General features: G+C 38.4%; 1 protein-coding gene across 47 annotated transcripts in view; it reads right to left on the bottom strand.

The window, feature by feature from the left end:
• The window catches only part of SLC38A9 (solute carrier family 38 member 9), an 86,491-nt gene that overhangs the window by 18,716 nt on the left and 44,293 nt on the right, over nt 1-23,482 (bottom strand). For 18 of the 47 annotated variants that reach the window (NR_146165.1, NR_047649.1, XR_007058583.1 and 15 more), the window contains 5 exons: nt 20,133-20,303; nt 12,155-12,214; nt 7,969-8,163; nt 4,647-4,754; nt 1,229-1,335 (listed from right to left, as the gene is read on the bottom strand). Coding sequence is in view for 43 of the 47 variants with exons in the window: in NM_001282429.1 (NP_001269358.1) it covers nt 1,229-1,335; nt 4,647-4,754; nt 7,969-8,163; nt 12,155-12,214; nt 20,133-20,303 (641 nt within the window). In the remaining 4 variants the exon portion in view is untranslated. The remainder of the gene's footprint in view (nt 1-1,228; nt 1,336-4,646; nt 4,755-7,968; nt 8,164-12,154; nt 12,215-20,132; nt 20,304-23,482) is intronic. The other 29 variants (XM_047416789.1, XM_017009078.3, XM_047416786.1 and 26 more) reach the window with 7 other exon arrangements.

Here is a 23,482-nt window from a genome sequence, read left to right on the forward strand (position 1 = left end):
ACAGGCGCCCAACACCATACCCGACTAATTTTTGTATTTTTAGTAGAGACGGCGTTTCACCATCTTGGCCAGGCTGGTCTTGAACTCTTGACCTCGTGTCCACCCGCCTTGGCCTCCTGAAGTGCTGGGATTACAGGCGTGAGCCACCATGCCCAGCCGCATTATTATTATTATACTTTAAGTTTTAGGGTACATGTGCACAATATGCAGATTAGTTACATATGTATACATGTGCCATGCTGGTGTGCTGCACCCATTAACTCATCATTTAGCATTAGGTATATCTCCTAATGCTATCCCTCCCCACTCCCCCCACCCCACAACAGTCCCCAGAGTGTGATGTTCCCCTTCCTGTGTCCATGTGTTCTCATTGTTCAATTCCCATCTATGAGTGAGAACATGCGGTGTTTGGTTTTTTGTCCTTGCGATAGTTTACTGAGAACGGTGATTTCCAATTTCATCCATGTCCCTACAAAGGACATGAACTCATCATTTTTTATCAGCCGCATTTATTTTTTAAGATGGGGTTTTGCTCTGTTGACCGGGCTAGAGTGCAGTGGCATGAACACAGTTCACCACAGCCTTGGCTTCCTGGGCTTAAGCAATCCTGCTGCCTCAGCCTCCCAAGTAGCTGGGACTATAGGCATGTGCTACCAAACCAGGCTAATTTTCTTTGTAGAGACAGGGTCTAACCATGTTGCCCAGGCTGGTCTCGAATTCCTGGGCTCAAGTGATCTTCCTGCCTCGGACTCCCAAAGTGCTGGTATTACAGGCCTGAGCCACCACGCCCAGGGTATCTTTAAAAGATTTTACCACCATTAATGGCTTATTAGCCATACCTCTATTTTTTCAGTGGTTGCTCTATGGCAGGCACTGGCAAACTATGACTCATGGGCCAAATCTTGTCTGATGTCTGTTTTTGTAAACAGTTTCATTGAAACAATGCCATCACCCATTTGTTTATGTATTATCTATGGCTGCTTTCATAACATAACAGCACAGTTGGGGAGCTGCAACAAAAACCATAAGGCCTACAAGGCCTGAAATATTTATCATCTGAACCTTTACAGAAAAATTTGCTGACGACTGCTCTATGGTTTAAGTTTAAAAATTAAGATCTTGTAACAAAATTGCCTAATTGTACTCTAAATATAAAGTGCCTCAAATACTGACTTAAAAAATTTATCCTCGGGAGATACAAAAGTCAATTCCAAAGATAATTACTCACATTGTTTTCTTGTTTCTTGTTGTTCTTCAAGAGTGTGATGATACAATTATGAATAAAAAAAGCAAGGGTAAGCACTCCAGTCAGCTGTGGAAACTGAAATCTTATCTCTAGGAGAAAAATAAAAACAAGAACATTAAAACTGACAATTAGAAAATGAGTATTGGTAGCCAAAAGTTGACTACTAAAAATCAGTTGTCACTGTTTTATCCAGGGAATAAGAATATTAAAATGTCTTTACAAAGTTCCTCGAGGCCAGCATTATACTTGGGCGAAGCACTCAAAAGGGGGAAAAAAAGGTATGCTCTGGCTGAGTGTGGTGGCTCACACCTGTAATCCTAACATTTTGGGAGGCCAAGGTGGGCGGATCACCTGAGGTAAGGAGTTTGAGACCAGCCTGGCCAACATGGCGAAACCTTGTCTTTACTAAAAATACAAAAATTAGCGTGGTGGTGGAAGCCTGTAATCCCCGCTACTTGGGAGGCTGAGGCAGGGGAATCGCTTGAACCTAGAAGGCAGAGGTTGTAGTAAGCCGAGATCACACCATTACACTGCAGCCTGGGTGAAAGAGCGAGACTCCATCTCAAAAAAAAAAGTATACTCTGTGCAGGTGCTTTATATCAATTATTCCTATTTGAGGTCATACAACTGGTATGGAGAAGGGCAGGATTCAAATTTAGGGTCTGTCTGACTTTAAAGTCCTTCATTTTTTTAATACCTGAATTTGCCAGAAAAGTACCTCTAGAAAAGGAATTATGAAAGGGCAAACTGGTCATTTAACTTTCTTCACTGACAAATCTAAAAAACATAATGTAAAAATATTAGAAATAAGTGTCCACCTACAGAGGATTCATTAAATTGAGATACAGTTGTGCAGTGGTATATGGTATCAAAAATTATGTTGTGGAGGCAGTTTCTTTTTTTCCCTATGATTGAAATAGCATACATACTGTGATTTTACTTTTTATTGTTTTATTCTTTTTGAGATAGGGTCTCACTCTGTCACCCAGGCTGGAATGCAGTGGCACAAACACAGCTGACTACAGCCCCAACTTTCTGGGCTCAAGTGATATTCCTATCTCAGCTTCCCTGGTAACTAGGATTATAGGTGCATGCCACCACACCCAGCTAAGTTTAAAAGAATTATTTTTTTGTAGAAACAGGGTCTCACCATGTTGTCCAGGCTGGTCTTGAACTCAAGTAATCCTCCCACCACAGCCTCCCAAAGTGCTGGGATTACAGACATGAGCCATTGTGCCTGGCCTACTTTTATTTTTAAAATATATGTGTGTATATAGATGTGTGTATGCAAAGAAAAAAGACTGGTGAGGGGGTATCCACAAAAATATAAATAGTGGTTATGTCAGGTTATGCAATTTATTTTATTTTATTTTATTTTTTATTTTTTTTTGCAATTTATTTTAAATTAACCACTTACCTATAATCTCTAAATGTTCTGCAATAAACACAAAGCTGCTTTAAAGTGAGAATAAAATAACATTGCAAAAGCACTGCCAATTTCTGTTTTGACTGCTAATAGAAAGAAAAAAAATGATTTTATGTAGAATAAAACCATGATTTACTTGAAAATACTGCTGGTCTAGCCAAACCCATCTCAGAGGATTCCTTAGTGTAAAAAGTAGAAACGTATAAAAAGTCCACTGACTCTGCTATATTATTTTAGGAAAAGAAGAGAAAACAAGAATCAAGCACTAGCTCTAAAATAAAATAAACAAATCTAAATAAAATAAGATCTATTAGTTTTCAACACGTTCTTTTCAATTTAGCTGAATTTCCTGTCTCTCAGAGTAATCAATTCTGTTACTTAGTTAAGATACCCTGTAAAGCAATTTGTTAGCTAATCCTTTTCTATCTTTTCTAATTAAGGCAAGTAAGACCACTGTTAGGTTTCTAACTTGTCATATTACAGTGGGTAAATAGTCAGCTTTTTCCCATTAACTAACAAAAGCTATCTTTTTGAGAAAATTTCTTGAAAACCTGAGATTCTTTTTAATAGCACTATTGAAATAAAATTCATGTTTCACCTACTTGAAGTGTACAACTAGTTTTTAACTGAATAGCATATTCACAGAGTTGTACAACCATAACCACAGCACTTCATTCCTTTTCTATTGCCAAATAATATCCCATTGTACAGATATACCACATTTTGGCCGGGTGTGGTGGCTCACACCTGTAATCCCAGCACTTTGGGAGGCTGAGGCAGGTGGATCACCTGAGGTCAGGAGTTTGAGACCAGCCTGGCCAACATGGTGAAACCCTGTCTCTACTAAAAATACAAAATTAGCCGGGCATGGTGGTGCGTGCCTGTAATCCCAGCTACTCAGGAGGCTGAGGCAGGAGAATCACTTGAACCTGGGAGGGGGAAGGTGCAGTGAGTTGAGACTGTGCCACTGCACTCGAGCCTGGGTGACACAGTGAGACTCTGTCTCAAAAGAAAAAAGAAAGATATACCACATTTTATTTATCCATTTGTTATTGATAGACATTGGGCTGTTTCTATTTTTGGCTATTATGAATAATGCTGCTATAAACATGCATGTACAAGTTTTTGTGTGGAAAATACACTTTTTTAAAGAACATAGACATTTACACCATGATTATTACATAATACATTAAATAACAGACTCCTTCACAAAATGGTTTTAAAGAAGCTCCAAACTTCTCATCATTTTCAAACTGCTTACTTTATTCCTTTGAAAAGGCATATCAAGAAAGGATGTAAGCAGGAAGAAGATAATTGCATTACATGTATTTGAGAAAGGATTCATATTTGGAATGTGTAAAGAACTCCTATAAATCAGTATGAAAAAAACAGACAGTTAAATAGAAAAACAGAAGAAGCACTTCAGAAAAGATGAAATCCAAATGGCCAACAAACATATGAAAAGTTGCTAACTCCACTGATCATTACAGAAATGCAAATTAAAACCACATTGTACGTTCCCAACAAAAAGATAAATGTTTGAGGTGATGGATATCCCAATTACCCTGATTTGAGCACTACACATTGCATAGAGGTATTAAAATATCATATGTTCCCCCCAAATATGTACAACTATTATATGTCAATAAAAATGTTTAATTAAAAACCACAAAACCACAATGTAATAGCACATTATATACCCATAAGAAAGGCTAGATGAAAAACACAGAAAATTCAAGTATTAGTGCACTATAACTTAAATGAATTTCAACTAACAAGTAGAAATGACAAAGGGCCCTGGTTACCACTAACTGCAGGAAATCCAAAATAATCTCAACTGTAGTCCTGTTTTTAACTTAATAGCATTTATAAAAATGCTCAGCATAAAAAAAAAATCATTACTTGTTTTAGAATAGCATATGACAATGGTTAAGATCACATTATTATAATTTATTATTTTGCCAAAAAGCTCACCTGGTACAAAAAATTCTGTTGGTATAAACCAATGAAATTCCAAATGAAATCCCAAGCGAACAGCCTTAAAGGTGACAAGGAAAATCAAATAAAGGACAGACACTGTGCCTGTGAGGAAAAAATTCAGAAACCATTTATTATCTTTGTGTGTTTTACAGATTATTTTAAAATCAAGCATTGTTTCCATAGTCTCAGCAAAGTGTGGGAAACTGTTAACTGCATTGATTATCTCCACTAACACCCAGCTGGGATCTAAAGACTAGAAACAAGCTGAGGGAGTTACCAGAAAAAAAACAAAACACTCTATGTAGTAGGCCTAAGAAGAACCAGATGAGCTGGGCATGGTGGCTCACACCTGTAATCCCAGCACTTTGGGAGGCTGAGGTGGGCAGACCACCTGAGGTCAGGAGTTCGAGACCAAACCGGCCAACATGGCGAAACTTCATCTCTACTAAAAATACAAAAGTTAGCCAGGTGTGGTGGCACACGCCTATAATCACAGCTACTCGGGAGGCTGAGACAGGAGAATCACTTGAATTCGGGAAGCAGAGTTTGCAGTGAGCCAAGATTGCACCACTGCACTCCAGCCTGGGCAACAGAGCGAGACTCCATCTCAAAGGAAAAAAAAAAGAATAAGAAAAGAAGAATCAGATGAAGGTAGCTCATACAATGCTGAATGCAAAACTGCTTCATTTACTTATGAGTTGAGTTTAAGCAGAAGATACAAGCAGAGAGTCCATTACAAAATTATAGGATTACATAGGATTGAAAAAAACAACATGAAACTTACTTTTATTCTTTGAATTGGAAGTGTTAGAGTCAGTCTGTCACAGTATTTAATGTGAGATGGTAAGAGGGTAAAGAAAGAAAAGCAGTGAATGTGGATCAAAAGCATATTTGAGAAAGGTGAGAAGCCAAATACATGAACAATCCTGATCTAGTATCTAGATGAGGTTTTGACTGGGTAGCACTACTTGCTAGACAGAGATTCCAGACTCCATTCTCAGGTATTATATACAAGGTAAAATGGGCATTCAGAATATTTTAGTAGTGTAGAAGGTAGAAGATTATTCCTTTTAAGAAATTAAGTCTAGTCATTATGGAGTAGAGTCAGAAAATTCAGGAAGGCCTTAGATGCTAATTCCTCTAATGAAGCTATGGTTTTAAGAGAAAGGGAAAGTACCAAGGAAAAGAACAAAAGCAGAATATCCTTAAGGAGCTGAAGAATGAACAATCAACCTGGTTGGAAGTCTGGTGATTGTTGTGCCCAATTGAGCAAATCCTTCTATAAGTTTATATTCTTTTAAAAGATCTGTTTCACAGAAAAGTTGGCAAGCAAATCAGGAAACCACGAATGAGCGATATAAGCAGTACTGTGGGTTTGGAGATTAGCTGATTCAGAAAGGATGAAAACAGGACGCCAGAGCTTATATAACCACAACTCTTCATCTTCTGTGTGTCTATGGCAGCTTACAGTGAATCCTGTTCCTGAGGCAGACAGGCAAAGAGAAATAATTTTAACTTTTCCTTTGGTCTTCTGGAAACCTAGAAGCCACTGCCTTGTTCCTTGATATGCTGGGTTATTTATTTATTTATTTGTTGAGACAGAGTTTTCGCTCTTGTTGCCCACGCTGGAGTGCAATGGCATGATCTCGGCTCACTGCAACCTCCGCCTCCTGGGTTTAAGCAGTTCTCCTGCCTCAGCCTCCCGAGTAGCTGGGATTACAGGCATGCGCCACCATGCCTGGCTAATTTTGTATTTTTAGTAGAGACAGGGTTGCTCCATGTTGGTCAGTTTGGTCTCGAACTCCTGACCTCAGGTGATCTGCCTGCCTCAGCTTCCCAAAGTGCTGGGATTACAGGCGTGAGCCACCGCACCCAGCCTATCTATTTTATGCTCTAGACTGCCTGCCAGAGATCACATCCACAGGGAGGAAGTGAAATCGTATGGTTTATGTGGAGTTATCGATTCCTTATGAATGATATCCTTGTCCTTGGTTAGCCAGATCTGAACTTTCACTGGGGGGGTTCCTTTTGCCATCTTTTTTTTTTTTTTTTTTTTAAGACAGAGTCTCATTCTGTCACCCAGGCTGGAGTGCAGTGGCATAATCTTGGCTCACTGCAACCTCCACCTCCCAGGTTCAAGCAATTCTCTGCCTCAGCCTCCCAAGTAGCTGGGATTACAGGCACCAGCCACCACGCCCGGCTAATTTTTCTATTTTTAGTAGAGACAGGGTTTCACCATCTTGGCCAAGCTGGTCTTGAACTCCTGACCTCGTGATCCACCTGCGTCAGCCTCCCAAAGTGTTGGGAATACAGGCGTGAGCCACCACACCTGGCCCCTTTTGCCATCTTAAGTGGAGTAAAAACATTCGTTTAGTGGTTTCTGAAAAGCAGGGCTCACAGAAAGAGGTCTGTTCCTTGAAGAAGGCAATAGCGTTCTAAGAAAAAAAAGCACTGAGGAAGAGAGCAAAAGCAAAATAAACCTACGAAGCCTGAGATAGAGAATGATTTCCCAGGTTCAAAGTCAGGTGACAATTCTGCACAATACTCTTAGAGACTGTAGGAAAAAACATTCTATAACTTTCCTTAGTAAGTTCTGTTTCCAACCGTTAGAATCAAGAATTCCTATAATATCCAATTTGGATCTCTCCTCCTGAAATTTTCGTGTATTTCGTCTAGTTGTATCCTCAGAGAAAATGAGGAAGAATTGTTCAGTAAGTTTAGAATGAGAAACCAAATAATTCATGTCTCAAAAAAAAAAAACACACACACACAACAAAACCAAAAATGGTCATCTACACTTTTCTCCATGCCAAACTCCATAAAAAAAAATAGAAAAAATCAGGTTATCATAAGAATGAACAAATTGCCGGGCGTGCTGGCTCACACCTGTAATCCCAGCACTTTGGGAGGCTGAGGCAGGTCGATCACCTAAGGTCAGGGGTTTGAGACCAGCCTGGACAACATGGTGAAATCCCACCTCTACCAAAAATACAAAATTAGCTGGGTGTGGTGGCGCATACCTGTAATCCCAGCTACTTGGGAGGCTGAGGCCAAGAATTGCTTGAACCCCGGAAGCAGAGGTTGCAGTGAGCCAAGATTGAGCCATTGCACTCCACCCTGGGCAACAACAGTGAAACTCCGTCTCAAAAAAAAAAAAAAAAAAAAGAAAGAAAGAAAGAACAAAACAAAAACGAATGAACAAATTAAACACAGATGAACAGGCTTGGAAGGTAACTCCCCAATCAGACCATATTTCCCTAGACTCCACCACGTATTCTATTACACAAAGTCTCCATAATTCAGTGCTACTACTTACCTAGGATATTAAATTTTGAAAAAAATGAAGGAGACTTGAAATTGAGCAGTGGGAGGAGGAGCCCTACAAGATAAAAGGGGACTGTCCTGGACTTATCCCACCACTTTTCAAACTGTTGGGCTCCTGTGTCATTGGCATAGAAAATCATAGAGCTGTTGTCAGGATGGCCTCCACTCCCGGCACTTGGACAAATCACTGCAATAGGAAAGCACCAGATTAAAGAAGATGACAAAAAACAAAACAAAACAAAACAAAAAACAGAAAATGACTGCCTCTAGAGACAGACACTTGCTCTACCAACCTCAACTCTTCCTAGGAGCCTAAATTTCTCTTTTCTGGAAAAAATAGAGGGTTAATTTTAGGAATATTAGGACTCTTTCACCTAAAAATAAATAAGGGTGAGGGAATCTTTAAAATTTCTGAGATATTATCATTATTTTTATTTATTTATTTTCTGAGACAGAGTCTCGCTCTGTCGCCCAGGCTGGAGTCCAGTGGCGTGATCTCGGCTCACTGCAACCTCCGCCTCCTGGATTCAAGCGATTCTCTTGTTGCAGCCTCCCAAGTAGCTGGAACTACAGGCACACATCACCATGCCCAGCTAATTTTTGTATTTTTAGTAGAGAGGGCATTTTACCATGTTGGTCAGGCTGGTCTCAAACTCCTGACCTGAGGTGATCCACCCACCTTGGCTTCTCAAAGTGCTGGCATTACAGGCGTGAGCTACTGCGCCCAGCCCTGAGATATTATCTTTAAACTCTACTGGAAACTATAAAAATATCCCACCAAATATCCCTTGGTTCCATTGCCAGAGAGAAAATACTGGGCTGGATGGTATTTGGTCTTATTTACACAATAATATAAAAAATATCATTTAGGGTGACTGTTTATCACACGAATAACCCATAAAAAGGCCAAAGAGCAGATTTCTTTTAACAACAAACAAAATCTATGGGTTTGGAATAAAAAGCAAACATCATTGAAACAGCTGCCATGATATCATAATCACTGATAAAAATGCAAGAATCTTGAATCCCAACAATCCAAAATAATTCTGGAAGTTGATCATATTTGATAGAAGCCTAAGAGTCCAGATGGTATCCAGATGACTGGGAAATCAGTAAAATGTATGTTTCTTTTTTTTTTTTGAGATGGAGTCTCGCTCTGTCACCCAGGCTGGAGTGCAGTGGTGCGATCTCGGCTCACTGCAACCTCTGCCTCCTGGGGTCAAGTGATTCTCCTACCTCAGCCTCCTGAGTAGCTAGGATTACAGGCGCATGCCACCATGCCCGGCTAATTTTTGTATTTTTAGTAGAGACGGGGTTTCACCATGCTGGCCAGGCTGGTCACGAACTCTTGACCTCGTGATCTGCCCGCCTTGGCCTCCCAAAGTGCTGGGATTATAGGCCTGAGCCACCGCACTGGGCCTAAACGTATGTTTCTTAAATACTGATCTACAAGTGGCAATTTCTTCTGTTATCAGACAGAGTACCAGCCATTCTCATTGTTTCTAATGTCACAGTAGAGCTTTTGCTAATAATCAGCTTTTCGTAAAGAACTCTTAATGCAGGTAGAAAATACTCGTATTAAGTAACCCTTATGCTCATCATTTGTCAAAGAGAAAGAATATTCATTGTCAGTTCTATTTTTAATTTTATTCTCTATCCATTATTTGGCATGCCACAAAGCCAAACATTTAATTTTCTTTCTCCTTCTTAGTCAACATTTTAGTGTGCTTTTTTTCTTCTACGCTCTAGACAGAAATTTTCTTGTGCTAATTATAGTGGTTAAAAGCACAGGCTATGGCAGCTGGGCGCAGTGGCTCATTCCTTTAATCCCAGCACTTTGGGAGGCTGGGGCAGGAGGATCACTTGAGGCCAAGAGTTTGAGACTAGCCTAGAAAACATGGCAACCCTGTCTCTAAAAGAATAACAAAATTTTGCTGGATGGGATGTAGTTCCAGCTACTCGGGAGGTGGAGGTGGGAGGATTGCTGAAACCCAGAAGTACCAGGTTGCAGTGAGCTATGATCATTGCCACTATAGGCCAGCCTAGGCAGCAGAGAGAGATCTTGTCTCAAATAAAAAAAAAAAAAAGAGCACAGGCTGTGGATGGAAGTTAATTGACTGAATAATGAATCCCAACTCTGCCACTTAATATTTAGGTGTCCTTGGATGAAATTAACTTCTATGTTCCCTGGTCTCTTCACCTGGAAAATGGTGTTGACAGTATCTACCATTTAAGGTTGCTATAAAACATTTAATGCAATGCCTGCACACAGGCATTCAATAAATGTTAACATTCAATAAATGTTAGCTGTAATTTTTTTTTTGAGACAGGATCTCACTCACTCAGGCTGGAGGGCAGTGGCGTAACTATGGCTCACTGTAGCCTCAACCCCTCAGGCTCAAGTGATCCTCTTGCCTCAGCCTCCCGAGTAGCTCGGACTACAGGTGCACGCCACTATGGCCAGCTAATTAAAAATTTTTTTTTGTAGAGACAGGGTCTTGCTATGTTGCCCAGGCTGATCTCAAACTCCTGGGCTCAAGCAATCCTCCTGCCTCGGCCTCCCAAAGTGTTAGAATCAAAAGCGTGAGCCACCATGCTCAGCAGCTAAAATTTTTTACACTAACTGAAATGGATTGTTTCATACTCTCATTGTTTACTACACTGTTCAAAATAAACATTAGCAGAGAAATCAAGAAGTGCTGGATATAAGATATCACTATATAAACTGACTTTGCTGATGGGGTTCTCTAAATCATCAATGTGACTGTGATATTAATATTTATTACCCTAATGATGAACTGACTCCCTACTGGAGAAGTACTATTAACTTTAGATATTAGTAAACTAGTTTCATCAATTAATATCAGAATAGGTATAGTAAAATAATTTTCTCTTTAAATACAAGGATGTTATTTGATCCTTTGAAAATTCTGAAGTAAGGAATAGGGCACAAGAGATTTTAGGATAATAATTCAAAGGTATATGTGTATGTGTCCACAGGAATAAAAGCTAGTACTTTACTCACTCATTTTCTAGCATTAACAAAAGACAGGTTTAATTAGGGGGAAAAGTAAGACACTGAGTAGCAAACACTGGAATGTAAACTTCATGAGAGGAGGGACTTTTGTCTGTTCATTATTATATCCCTAGAGCCTAGAACAGTTCCTGACACATAGTAGGCTTAATAAATGTGTTTAATGAATCATCCTCTTAGTGATCAATGTGCATCTCCATCAACATGACATCAGTTTAGTATCCCTGAAATCTAAATACATAAAGCTTTAGGTGATGTTCAAGTTTAACAGCATAACTGTTACCAAAGTTATATTAATGTTTATATTCACTTTCCCTGTAACGGCCATACTGGATTAAACTCATTGGCTCACAAGGGTTTATTTTTTAAAAATAAAGAAAAATTTCTAAGAAATTAATTTCTTTTACAGGTTACAAATTTGTATAGCCTATATATTAATAACTAAAACAATAGATCTCTAAAACTAAGTTAAACTGAGAACTATGCTTCTAGACATCTGATATAATTAATAGTGATATAGGTTCTTGAAAATACTGATTATTCACAGGCAAATATGGATACTGTAGATAAAATTGTGAATTGTATAATATGAACTAAATGTTGCCTAGCTCACATTAATACAACCTATTGCTTGGTTGTATTAATAAATAAATTGAAAAAGCTTCAATTTATTTTTCCATATTTAGTTACTAACCTCTGTTTATTACTAGAAAATGAATTCTTTTACAGGTTACAAATTTGTATAGCATATATATTAATAACTAAAACAATAGACCTCTAAAACTAAGTTAAACTGAGAACTATGCTTCTAGACATCTGATATAATTAATAGTGATATAGATTCTTGAAAATACTGATTATTCACAGGCAAATATGGATACTGTAGATAAAATTGTGAATTGTATAATATGAACTAAATGTTGCCTAGCTCACATTAATACAACCTATTGCTTGGTTACATTAACACAGCCTTTTTGGAGGTTCTTTTTTTTTTAAACACACTACCAACAATTTAGTAGCAGCTCAGTAAACATAATAATTTTCTACTAATCGTTTACCTAAAATAAGGTCACATGTTCTACCTTAAATCCTTTTTGGAGCAAGGTGGAGAGTAAAGAAACAAACAACATCCCAAACTACTTACCAGGGTTGCTATTATTGGTACTCAGTATAGTGTCTGTGTCATTAATGTGATGAATAAAATCTAAAAATAAAGGAAAAAATATAGTTTAACACTGAATGAAAGACACTAAATCTATTACCCTTTAAGGTCTTTTATTTATAAAAATCTTTTTTTTTTCTTTCTTTGAGACGGAGTCTTGCTCTGTTGCCCAGGCTAGAGTGCAGTGGCACGATCTTGGCTTACTGCAAGCTCCGCCTCCCAGATTCACGCCATTCTCCTGCCTCAGCCTCCCGAGTAGCTGGGACTACAAGCGCCCACCACCACCCCTGGCTAATTTTTTGTATTTTTTTAGTAGAAACAGGTTTCACCGTGTTAGCCAGGATGGTCTCGATCTCCTGACTTCGTGATCCACCCACCTCGGCCTCCCAAAGTCAGTCACCGGGCCCAGCCTATAAAAATCTTTTAATATCTGTGTAGTAATCTAGTACACTGAACAAAGACTACTTCACTGTTAACATAGCTTCACCTTCTATAGTTTTCTTCACTTATGGGCATGATAATGTTAGTGTCTTCACAGTTCCACTGTGGAAAATCTTTACGTGTAAATTGAAGATTTCAAAAAAATCTATCCACAACACTGAATTAATGATAGTTTAAAGCCCCGGAATAAAGATATGTATGTAAGTTTTCTCTTATCCTCACACTAAAGTTATATTTCACACAGAGTACAGTTCTAAAGTGTGCAAAAAGGGGAAACCAACACTCATACACAGCTGATCTTACCTGGAAAATCAAAGTTTTTTTTTTTTTTACAAAGTACAATACATACTTTTATAGATCTAAGGCCATATACGAATTGTTATTTACATAAGAACCACTGAGTTAGACTAAAGGAAGTAACAAAGAACAAAGCACATGCAGATGGCTGAGCATTCATCATTCTACAGTGAAAGAGAGAACAGGCAGAGAATGTGTTTACTTGCCTCAGGGGGTTTACTTTATTCTGTTTGATATTAACCTTCTATAACCTGAGTAAGCATTAATAAAAGTATTTGTTGTGAAACTTGAATAAGATAGTAAAAGGTGCTGGGTTAGGTTTTAAGGTCATAAAAGTAAGTTAAATAGTTAAATTATTCATCTTCACCGTATGTTTCTCAAGATAGAATAAAAGAAACAGTATAGTACTTTGGGTTTTTATAATATCTCCAAAGGTTGTTTATGATTTAAGATTGGAATTTATGAATCTTTGTGTAATTTCTTGATGCCAAAGACTTACAGTAAGGCTAGTAAAATCTTGACACGAAGTGTACTGGGTTAAATAGCATTCCCCTTACCCCAAATTTATGTCCACTAGAAACCTCAGAATGTGACCTTATTTAAAAATAGAGTCTTTGTAGATACAATCAAGTTAAGATGAGGTCATAATAGATTAGGGTGGGCCCTAAAGCCAATGACTGATGTCTTTTATTTTATTTTATTTTAATTTTTTTGAGACAGAATCTTGCTGTCACCCAGGCTGGGGTAGAGTCGCATGACTGCAACCTCCACCTCCCAGGTTCAAGAAATTCTCCTGCCTCAGCCTCCCGAGTAGCTGGGATTACAGGTGCCTGCCACCACACCCACTGAATTTTTGTATTTTTAGTAGAGACAGGGTTTCACCATGTTGGCCAGGCTGGTCTCAAACTCCTGACCTCAGGTGATCTGCCTGCCTTGGCCTCCCAGAGTGCTGGGATTACAGGCATAAACCACCGCGCCCAGCCCAATTTATAGGAAGAGGGAAATTTGGACACAGACACACAGAGGGAAGAAGGCCATGTGAAGATGGAGGGAGAAACTGGAGTGATGTACCTACTTGCCAAGGAATGCCAAGGACCACCAGCAACCAACAAAGGTTAGGAAGAGGCAAGGAAGGATTCTTCCTTAGAGCCTTAGGAGGGACCAGGGCCCTGTTCACCCTTTGATTTCACATCTCTAGTCTCCATAGTTATGAAAGAAGAAATCTGTGTTGTTGTAAGCATATTTATGGTAATTTGTTACTGCACCCTTGGGAAACTAACACACCAAGGTTCATGGACAGCATGAAAAAGAAAAACCATAGGCCAATATTTGTTAGGAAAAGACACAAAAGATCTAAACAAATATTAGCTCCTACCCCTCCAAAAAAGCAAATTCAATCCAGTAAGGCATTTGAAAAATATGTCATGACTAATGAACTTATTTAAGTTTACCCCACAATACAAGGATGGTTTAAATTTTACAAAAAGTATTCATTTAATTCATCATATTGATAAAGGAGGAAATTTAATTAAGATAATCTCTTGATTGTCTCTTCATATCTTTTGATTATCTCGAGATGCAGAATAAATACTTGATAAAATTCAACCACTTTAATAAAAATACTTAAGTAGACAATAGGCGGGAATGTCTTTAAATTATTAAAGGGTACAACTGATATCCCACAATAAACATAATATTTGTGAAACATCAGAAAGATTTCCTTATGAACAATATAAGGATATCTACAAGCACCGCTTCAATGCAACTTCACATTAAAAAAAAAACCATCAATATATACATATAGATACACATTTATACGTATATGTCTGTGTACGTATATATAATTACATACGTATATAAATATAAATGTATGTATACATATATGAACTATTAAAAAAACTGGAAAGGTTTTTTTTTTTATTTTATTTTGATTTGAGATGGAGTCTCACTCTTGTTGCCCAGGCTTGAGTGCAGTGGCACGATCTTGGCTCACTGCAACCTCCACCTCCTGGGTTCAAGCCATTCTCCTGCCTCAGCCTCCTGAGTAGCAGTGATTACAGGTGCCCACCACCACGCCTGGCTAATTTTTGTACTTTTAGTAGAGACGGGGTTTCACTATGTTGGCCAGGCTGATCTGAAACTCCTGACCTCAGGTGATCCACCTGCCTTGGCCTCCCAAAGTGCTGAGATTACAGGCGTGAGCCACTAAGCCCAAACAGAAAGCTTTTTTAATTCACAGATGATATGATTATTTAAAAAGGAAACACAAAGTGCATCTACAAAATTTTTATTTTTTATTTATTTATTTTTTTTGAGACAGAGTCTAGCTCTGTTGCCCAGGCTGGAGTGCAGTGGCACGGTCTCCGCTCACTGCAAGCTCCGCCCCCCAGGTTCATGCCATTCTCCTGCGTCAGCCTCCCAAGTAGCTGGGACTACAGGCACCCGCCACCATGCCCGGCTAATTTTTGTGTACTTTTAGTAGAGACAGGGTTTCACCGTGTTCGCCAAGATGGTCTCGGTCTCCTGACCTCGTGATCTGCCCGCCTTGGCCTCCCAAAGTGCTGGGATTACAGGCATGAGCCACCACGCCCGGCTACAAAATTTTTAGAATCAGTAAGAGTTCAGCAAGTTTGCTAGATTAAAGATAAACATTCAAGGGGCAGGGCACGGTGGGTCACGCCTGTAATCCCAGCACTTTGGGAGGCCAAGGCGGGCAGACTGCTTGAACTCAGGAGTTCAAGACCAGCCTGGGCAACATGACGAAACCTGTCTCTACAAAAAATATAAAAATTAGCCGGGCATGGTGGTGGTATTTGCCTGTAGTCTCAGCTACTCGGGAGGCTGAGGTGAGAGGATCACCTGAGCCTGGAGAGGTCAAGGCTGCAGTGAGTTGTGATCACACCACTGCACCCCAGAGCCTGGGTGAAAGAGTGAAACTCTGTCTCAAAAAAACATTCAAAATGTAATTAGGTTCTTTTATAACAGCAACAAATAATTTGAATGTATAATCAAAAATTTATCATTACTTTCTGGGAAGATGGAAATGTTCTATTTCTTGAAGGAGGTGTATAGATGTATGTATGTATAATTAAGACTTGTTTATTTCAATGAATAAATTCTATCTAAAAGAAGAACTATACATATACTAATAGCTGAACTAGGTGGGGAGTGGGAATAGCATGGATTATGTCTTCTTAATGGATGTTACTCTCAAGAAGCACAAAATTCATTCTCAGGGTGTGAAAGAAACTCTTCCTACAGATAAAGCATATATATGCATACAGTTCATAAAGAGATTTACAGTATATCTTTGGTATTAAAATTTCATGGGGGGGGTGATCAGAAAAAAATATCTAAAAGGCTCCTTGAAGGGACAATAATGAAAAAATGGTTGAAAAACACTACTATAGATGATTTAAAAATGACGGAATGTTGATAACTGTTAAAACTAGGTAAGGAGAAATTATACTATTCTGTTTTTTTGTATGTGTTTGAGATTTTTTATAATAAAAACTGCATATTTGTATATTAGAACTACTGTTACAGAAAAAATGTTAAGATCCCGAGGAAAAAGTCCAAAAAAAAAGATACACAAGATCTTTATCAAGAAAAACTTAAAATTTTTTTTAAAGACCTAAATAAACAAAGAACTATGCCATGCCAAAGTCATGAGTAGGAAGACTCAGTATCTAGGCCGAGCGCAGTGGCTCACGCCTGTAATCCCAGCACTTTGGGAGGCCGAGGTGGGCGGATCATGAGGTCAGGAGATCCAGACCATCCTGGCTAACACGGTGAAACTCCGTCTCTACTAAAAATACAAAAACATTAGCCAGGCATGGTGGTGGGCGCCTGTAGTCCTAGCTGCTGGGGAGGCTGAGGCAGGAGAATGGCGTGAACCCAGCAGGCGGAGCTTGCAGTGAGCCGAGATCTCGCCCCGGCACTCAAGCCTGGGTGACAGAGCAAGACTCCGTCTCAAAAAAAAAAAAAAAAAAAAAAAAAAGGAAGACTCAGTATCTAAATGATATCAATTCTCTCCACATCAATAAATCCAGTGCAATGTCAATCAAATTCTAACCCAATACGCTACAATATCAATTACTATACGGTGTACCAACTGATAAAATCAATGCAATTCCAGTCAAGTTCTGATTGGAATTTTGTGGAACTTGATTAGTTGATTCTAAAATGTATATGGAAGAGTTGTGAATCATAATGGAGAAAAACACTAATTTTAAAATAAAAAACTTTTGAATAACACAGAGCTACCATATAAAAAGAGAAGACAAGCCACTAATTAGAAGATATTTGCAACACAATAATGGATAAATGGTTAGTATCCGAACTTTACAGAGTTCCTATAGGTAAGAAAAGGACCAACAACCCGATAGAAAAATGGGCAAAGGATATGAATAAGCTATTTAATGGTCAATATAATTAAGAAAAGATGATTAATGCCACTCCTTATGAGGAGAAATGCAAATTAAAACCACATCCTGATGGCAAAATTTAAGTCTGATAATACTGAGTGTGAGTGAGGATGTGGAACAAGGGTAACTTTCATAAACTGTTGGCAGGAGTGTAAGTAGTACAAGCATGATAAAGAACAATTCTGCAATTTCAAGTAAGGTTGAAAATGTGAATATCTTAAATTCCAGAAATGTGTCTATAAGGTCCATAACTTGGAGAAATTCTCCCCCATGTATACAAGGCAACAGAAATAAGGATGTTTAATAAAGCCTTGCTTGTAATAGCACAATAAGTGAAAACAAATTAAATGTTTATCAACGAGAACAGATAAAAAAGTTGTATATTCATATTACTAAATACTATAAGCAATCAGAATGAACTTTGTGTATTAACAGAGATGATGAAAGACAGAAAGCAAGTTGCAAAAGCGTTTATGTAGATTAAAAACAAGCGGCCAGGTGCCATGGCTCACACCTGTAATCCCAGCACTTTGGGAGGCTGAGGTGGGCGGATCACGACGTCAGGAGATCGAGACCATCCTGGCCAACATGGTGAAAATTTGTCTCTACTAAAAATACAAAAATTAGCTGGGTGTGGTGGTGCACGCCTATGATCTCCGCTACTCAGGAGGCTGAGGCAGGAGAATCGCTTGAACCTGGGAGGCAGAGATTGCAGTGAGCCGAGATCTCACCACTGCACTCCAGCCTGGTGACAGAGCAAGACTCCGTCTCAAAAAAACAAAAAAAAACCAAAAAAAAAAAATGCAAAACAAATAGTGTATGTTGCTCATATATTCATGTAGTAAAAGTCCAAAAAGTGCATGGGATTGATAAACACCAAATTCAGAGAAGGAAAATGAGATTGAGAAGGAGTGCATGTGGGGCTTCCACTCTATCCATAATATTTTCTTTTTATAGGAATACAGAACTACCTAAGCATAGTGGCTTGTGTCTATAATTCTTTTTTTTTTTTTTCTGAGATAGAGTCTTGCTCTGTTGCCCAGGCTGGAGTGCAGTGGTGCAATCTCAGTCACTGCAACCTCTGCCTCCCAGGTTCAAGAGATTCTCGTGCCTCAGGCTCCCGAGTAGCTGGGATTATAGGCATGTGCCACCACACCCAGCTAATTTTTGTATTTTTAGTAGACACAGGGTTTCACCATGTTGGCCGGGCTGGTCTTGAACTCCTGAGTTCAGATGTTCCACCAGCCTCGTCCTCCCAAAGTGCTGCGATTACAGGCGTGGGCCACCGTGCCTGGCCTGTGCCTATAATTCAAGCCTCTTAGCAAGCTGAGGTGGGAGAATCGCTTGAGGCCAGGAGGTAGAAACTAGTCTGGGCAACATACTGATACTCTGTCTCTACAAAAAAAAAAAAAAAAAAAAAAAAAAGGAGATCTAATAAAAATATGACAAAATGAGACACAAAAACTCATTAGTCAGTATACTGGTATTTATATTAGCTTTTGCATTTTTTGTAGTTTGAAATATTTCATAGTTTTTTAAACAATAAAGATGCTTGGGGCCAGGTGCGGTGGCTCATGCCTGTAATCCCAGCACTTTGGGAGGCCGAGGTGGGAGGATCACTTGAGGTCAGGAGATCGAGAACAGCCTGGCCAACATGGTAAAACCCCATCTCTAAAAATACAAAAATTAGCTGAGTGTTACCGCGGGTGCCTGTAATCCCAGCTACTCGGAAGGCCGAAGCAGGAGAATCACTTGAACCTGGGAGGTGGATGTTGCAGTGATCCGAGATCGCGCCACAGCACTCCAGCCTGGGTGACAGAGCAAGACTCTGTCTCCAAAAAACCTCTCAAAAAATAAAAATGCTTGGCAATAAAAATTATAAAGCTAATTTTATTCTTTAATGTTTAAAATGAAATAGAATTTATCTCCCTCATTCAAAGGCTCTTAGGGAAATTAGCTGTTGTGATTATGTTAGGACTTACTTTGAAATTTGGTTTTCACGTAAATCCAGATTTTAAATATATGCTTTATTTAAAGCTGCTAAACATATATTAAACTTTAGGTTTAGTGAAAACTTTAGTAAAACCTTTATACAGAAAAAGGTTTGGTATCTTTTACAATAAACTTCCAGCTCGGTACAGTGGCGTGAGTCTGTAACCAGGAGGCTGAGGTGGGAGGATCACTTGAGCCCAGGAGTTTGAGACCAGCCAGGGCAACATAGCAAGGCCCTGTCTCAAAAAAAGAAAAAAAAATTCATTAATTAAAAAAATGAACTTCCTCTATCTAACCTAAAAAAAATTATAAGAAGTATTTGGACTGATTTCTAAGACTCTCCTCAGAATTTAAGTAGCTGATTTGGGTAAATTATAATTCTGTGATATGTAAATATTAATAATATATTTATCACATAAATTCCATTATTCTTTGACTTCCTAATCTTATATCCTAACATGTTGAAAATAAGTGGCTGAAATTTGTTTTCCCTAGAGTCTACATACCAAATTCTTTAGTGAAACAAACTTAAAAGATCTGTTGGATTATAGACATATTTTATTTTAACTAAAGATTTTGGAGGAATATTATTCCTTCAAAGATTAATGTTTGGAAATAAGCATACACTATATTTGAGAGCACAACCACAGAAAGCCAACTGAATAAAATATATTTTCCAAAATTATATATGTTACTTCTTATTTTATTTATCCCAAGTCCTAGAATTTAAGGCTAGAACTAACATTACAGTGGTAATAGTATTTGAAAGTACTGTGTTAAAAGCATATGATATAGATACTTACTAAAAATAAACTTTCCAGTATTAAAAAGAAAATTTGACATAAGCACCCAATAAACTATCATTGCTCCAATGAGAGACACCAAGGAGAAAAGGAGACTCGACCACTGCCCAAAGGAGCCGAAATAATGTCTGCAGACATCTGGATATTCCCAGCTAGTGGTATCCAACGAAACTAGATAAAATAAGAGAAAGAATAAAACTAAATGTTGAACATATATTCCATATTCATAATTTGTGTTCCCCAAATAAACTCAAAATATTTGGCGAAAGATTATGGGTATTCTATCGCTAGACATTAGAATATATTATAAGATAATAAAATTAAAACATTATAGAAAAATAAAAGAAATGTAGATAAAATAGTACAGATAACCTGAGAAACAGATTATAGTATCATAACATTTTATAATTCATAAAAGCAAGTGATAAACTAAGGTTAGACAAATGCATCAGTAAGGGCCAGAAAATATTACTTAATATTTGGCATATTCAGATAACAACATTGCGGAAAGTTTCTTGAGTCACACTTTCTACCACATGCCAATATAAATTTCAGAAAATTGAGTCAAACAGGCCGGGCACGACAGCTCATGTCTGTAATCCCAGCACGTTGGGAGGCCGAGGCACGCAGATCACTTGAGGTCAGGAGTTTGAGATCAGCCTGGCCAACATGGTGAAACCCCATATCTATCAAAAAATACAAAAAAATTAGCTGGGCATAGTGGCGCGCCTGTAGTCCCAGCTACTCTGGAGGCTGAGGCATGAGAATTGTTTGAACCTGGGAGGCAGAGGTTGCAATGAGCTGAGATCATGCCACTGCACTCCAGCCTAGATGACAAAGTGAGACTCCATCTCAAAAAAAAAAAAAGAAAAAAAACAAAAGAAAGAAATCAAATAATAAAAAAGTTAGAAAACATAATGTAGAAATAGAACATGAAAGTTTATCTTCTAGCAACCGAAGAAACAAATTACAATGAAAAAGACAAACAGGGCTGGGCATGGTGGCTCAGGTCTGTAATCCTAGCACTTTGGGAGGCTGAGGTGGGCAGAATGCTTAAGCCTAAGAGTTGGAGACCAGCCTGAGCAACATGGCAAAACCCCATATTTAAAAAAATACAAAAATTAGCCAGGCGTGACAGCGTGCACCTGTAGTACCAGCTACTCAGGAGGCTGAGGTGGGAGGATCCCTTGAGACCAGGAGGTTGAGGCTGCAGTGAACCATGATCCCACCACTGCACCAAAAAGAAAGTAATTTAAAAGAATACAGAAAGTATATATAAAATATTTTTAGAAGAGTATTCTTTAGAATAGCAAAAACTAGCAATGACTTTAACATAAGACCTAGGGCAATGATTATGCAAATACAATAGAGCTGCCGTGTGCAACTGTATACAATCATTAAGAGACACAAATGGTGATCGTAGAAACATAACATGTACTAAAAAATAGGTGATAAAGTAGAAGACAACTAAAATACAATATGATTAACTTTAAAAAGCATGTATTTAGAGATTCCTATCATTTAGGATAGAAATTTACATAAGAAAACAAAAAACTAAAACCATTTGCTTTTCCATGATAGGATTATTATATTAGTAATATAAACTTTTTGTTTTACATTTCAATGTTCAAGAAAGAATATAGATAAGTATAACCTATGAAAGAGTATTTTAATTGTCATCAAAGGATAATTTTACAGTCTTTTTTCCTCTATGATCCCATGCTTTGAACTACTTTGAAATAATTATGTTTGATGAATACAGAAAAACTGAAGTTCTGCCACCTTTGAAGCAAAATATGGCAGCTAGTACATGGCAGAAAGCAGTCATAAGCCTGAAAAGTTGGGGACATTAGAATATGAGAATTCACATCTAGATAAAGAACATGAGGACAATATCACTATCAAGAATAACTGTTTCGGCTGGGCACGGTGGCTCATGCCTGTAATCCCAGCACTTCGGGAGGCTGAGGCAGGTGGATCAACTTGAGGTCAGAAGTTCGAGACCAGCCTGGCCAACATGGCGAAACACCATCTCTACAAAAAATACAAAAATTGCCAGGCACAGTGGCTCACGCCTGTAATCCCAGCACTTTGGGAGGCCGAGGCGGATGGATCACGAAGTCAGGAGATCGAGACCACAGTGAAATCCCGTCTCTACTAAAAATACAAAAAATTAGCCGGGCGTGGTGGTGGGTGCCTGTAGTTCCAGCTACTCGGGAGGCTGAGGCAGGAGAATGGCGTGAACCTGGGAGGCCAAGTTTGCAGTAAGCTGAGATCGCGCCACTGCACTCCAGCCTGGGTGACAGAGTGAGACTCCGTCTCAAAAAAAATAAAAATACAAAAAATACAAAAATTAACCAGGCGTGGTGGTGGGCGCCTGTAGTTCCAGCTACTCGGGAGGCTGAGGCATGAGAATTGCTTGAACCTGGGAGGAGGAGGTTGCATTGAGCTGAGTGACTCTTAGCATTTCTAATAAAATTATCTTTTGACTGATAATATAATTCTAAGTCTCTTCTAGTTTTTATATTATTTAGGGTTTTTTTTGCTGCATTTGACAATATCTCCAAAAAAAACTGATTAATTATGAATATTTCTATGTTTTCTTGACTTTAATGAAAACTGCTTTAGCATTTCATAATTTTAGAATGGTGCCGGTACTTGTCTGGGAATAAATAGACTTTGCTATTTTTAAGTAGTGCTTTTCACTTAGAGTTTTAATCAGAAACAGGTGCTGAATTCTATTAAGTGCCTTTTTGATATCTATTGATGTAATTATGAATTTTTCTTTAATTTGTTAATGTAGTGAATTATGTTGGATTTCTTAATAATGAAACATCCTTGCATTACTGGAATAAACCTTATCTTAGGCACAGGATATGTTTTGATATACTGTTGGATTCTATATGATAATGTTTTACAAATAAATTTTACGTTTCTATATTATTTTCTTTCTTTTTGGTAGTGTCAGGCTTTGTGTTAGGGGTGTGTGGACTTTGTAAAATGAATTGGTGGAAGTTCTTCTTTTTATTATTTTTATTTTATTTTATTTTATTTTAAGACAGTGTTTCACTCCATCACCCAGGCTGAAGTGCAGTGGCACAATCTTGGCTCACTGCAAGCTCCACTTCCTGGGTTCAAGCAATTCTCGTGCCTCAGCCTCTCTTCTTTTTAAATGGTGTGGAGTAGTTTAATAACATGGAAGTTAACAGTTATAGAGCCAATAATCCCAGCATTTTGGGAGGCAGAGGTGAGCAGATCACTTGAGCCCAGTAGTTCGAGACCAACTTGAGCAACATGGTGAAACCCTGTCTCTATGAAAAATACAAAAAATTAACTGGGCATGGTGGTAT

Source organism: Homo sapiens, chromosome 5, assembly GCF_000001405.40.
Source record: "Homo sapiens chromosome 5, GRCh38.p14 Primary Assembly".
Classification (NCBI taxonomy): Eukaryota; Metazoa; Chordata; class Mammalia; order Primates; family Hominidae; genus Homo; species Homo sapiens.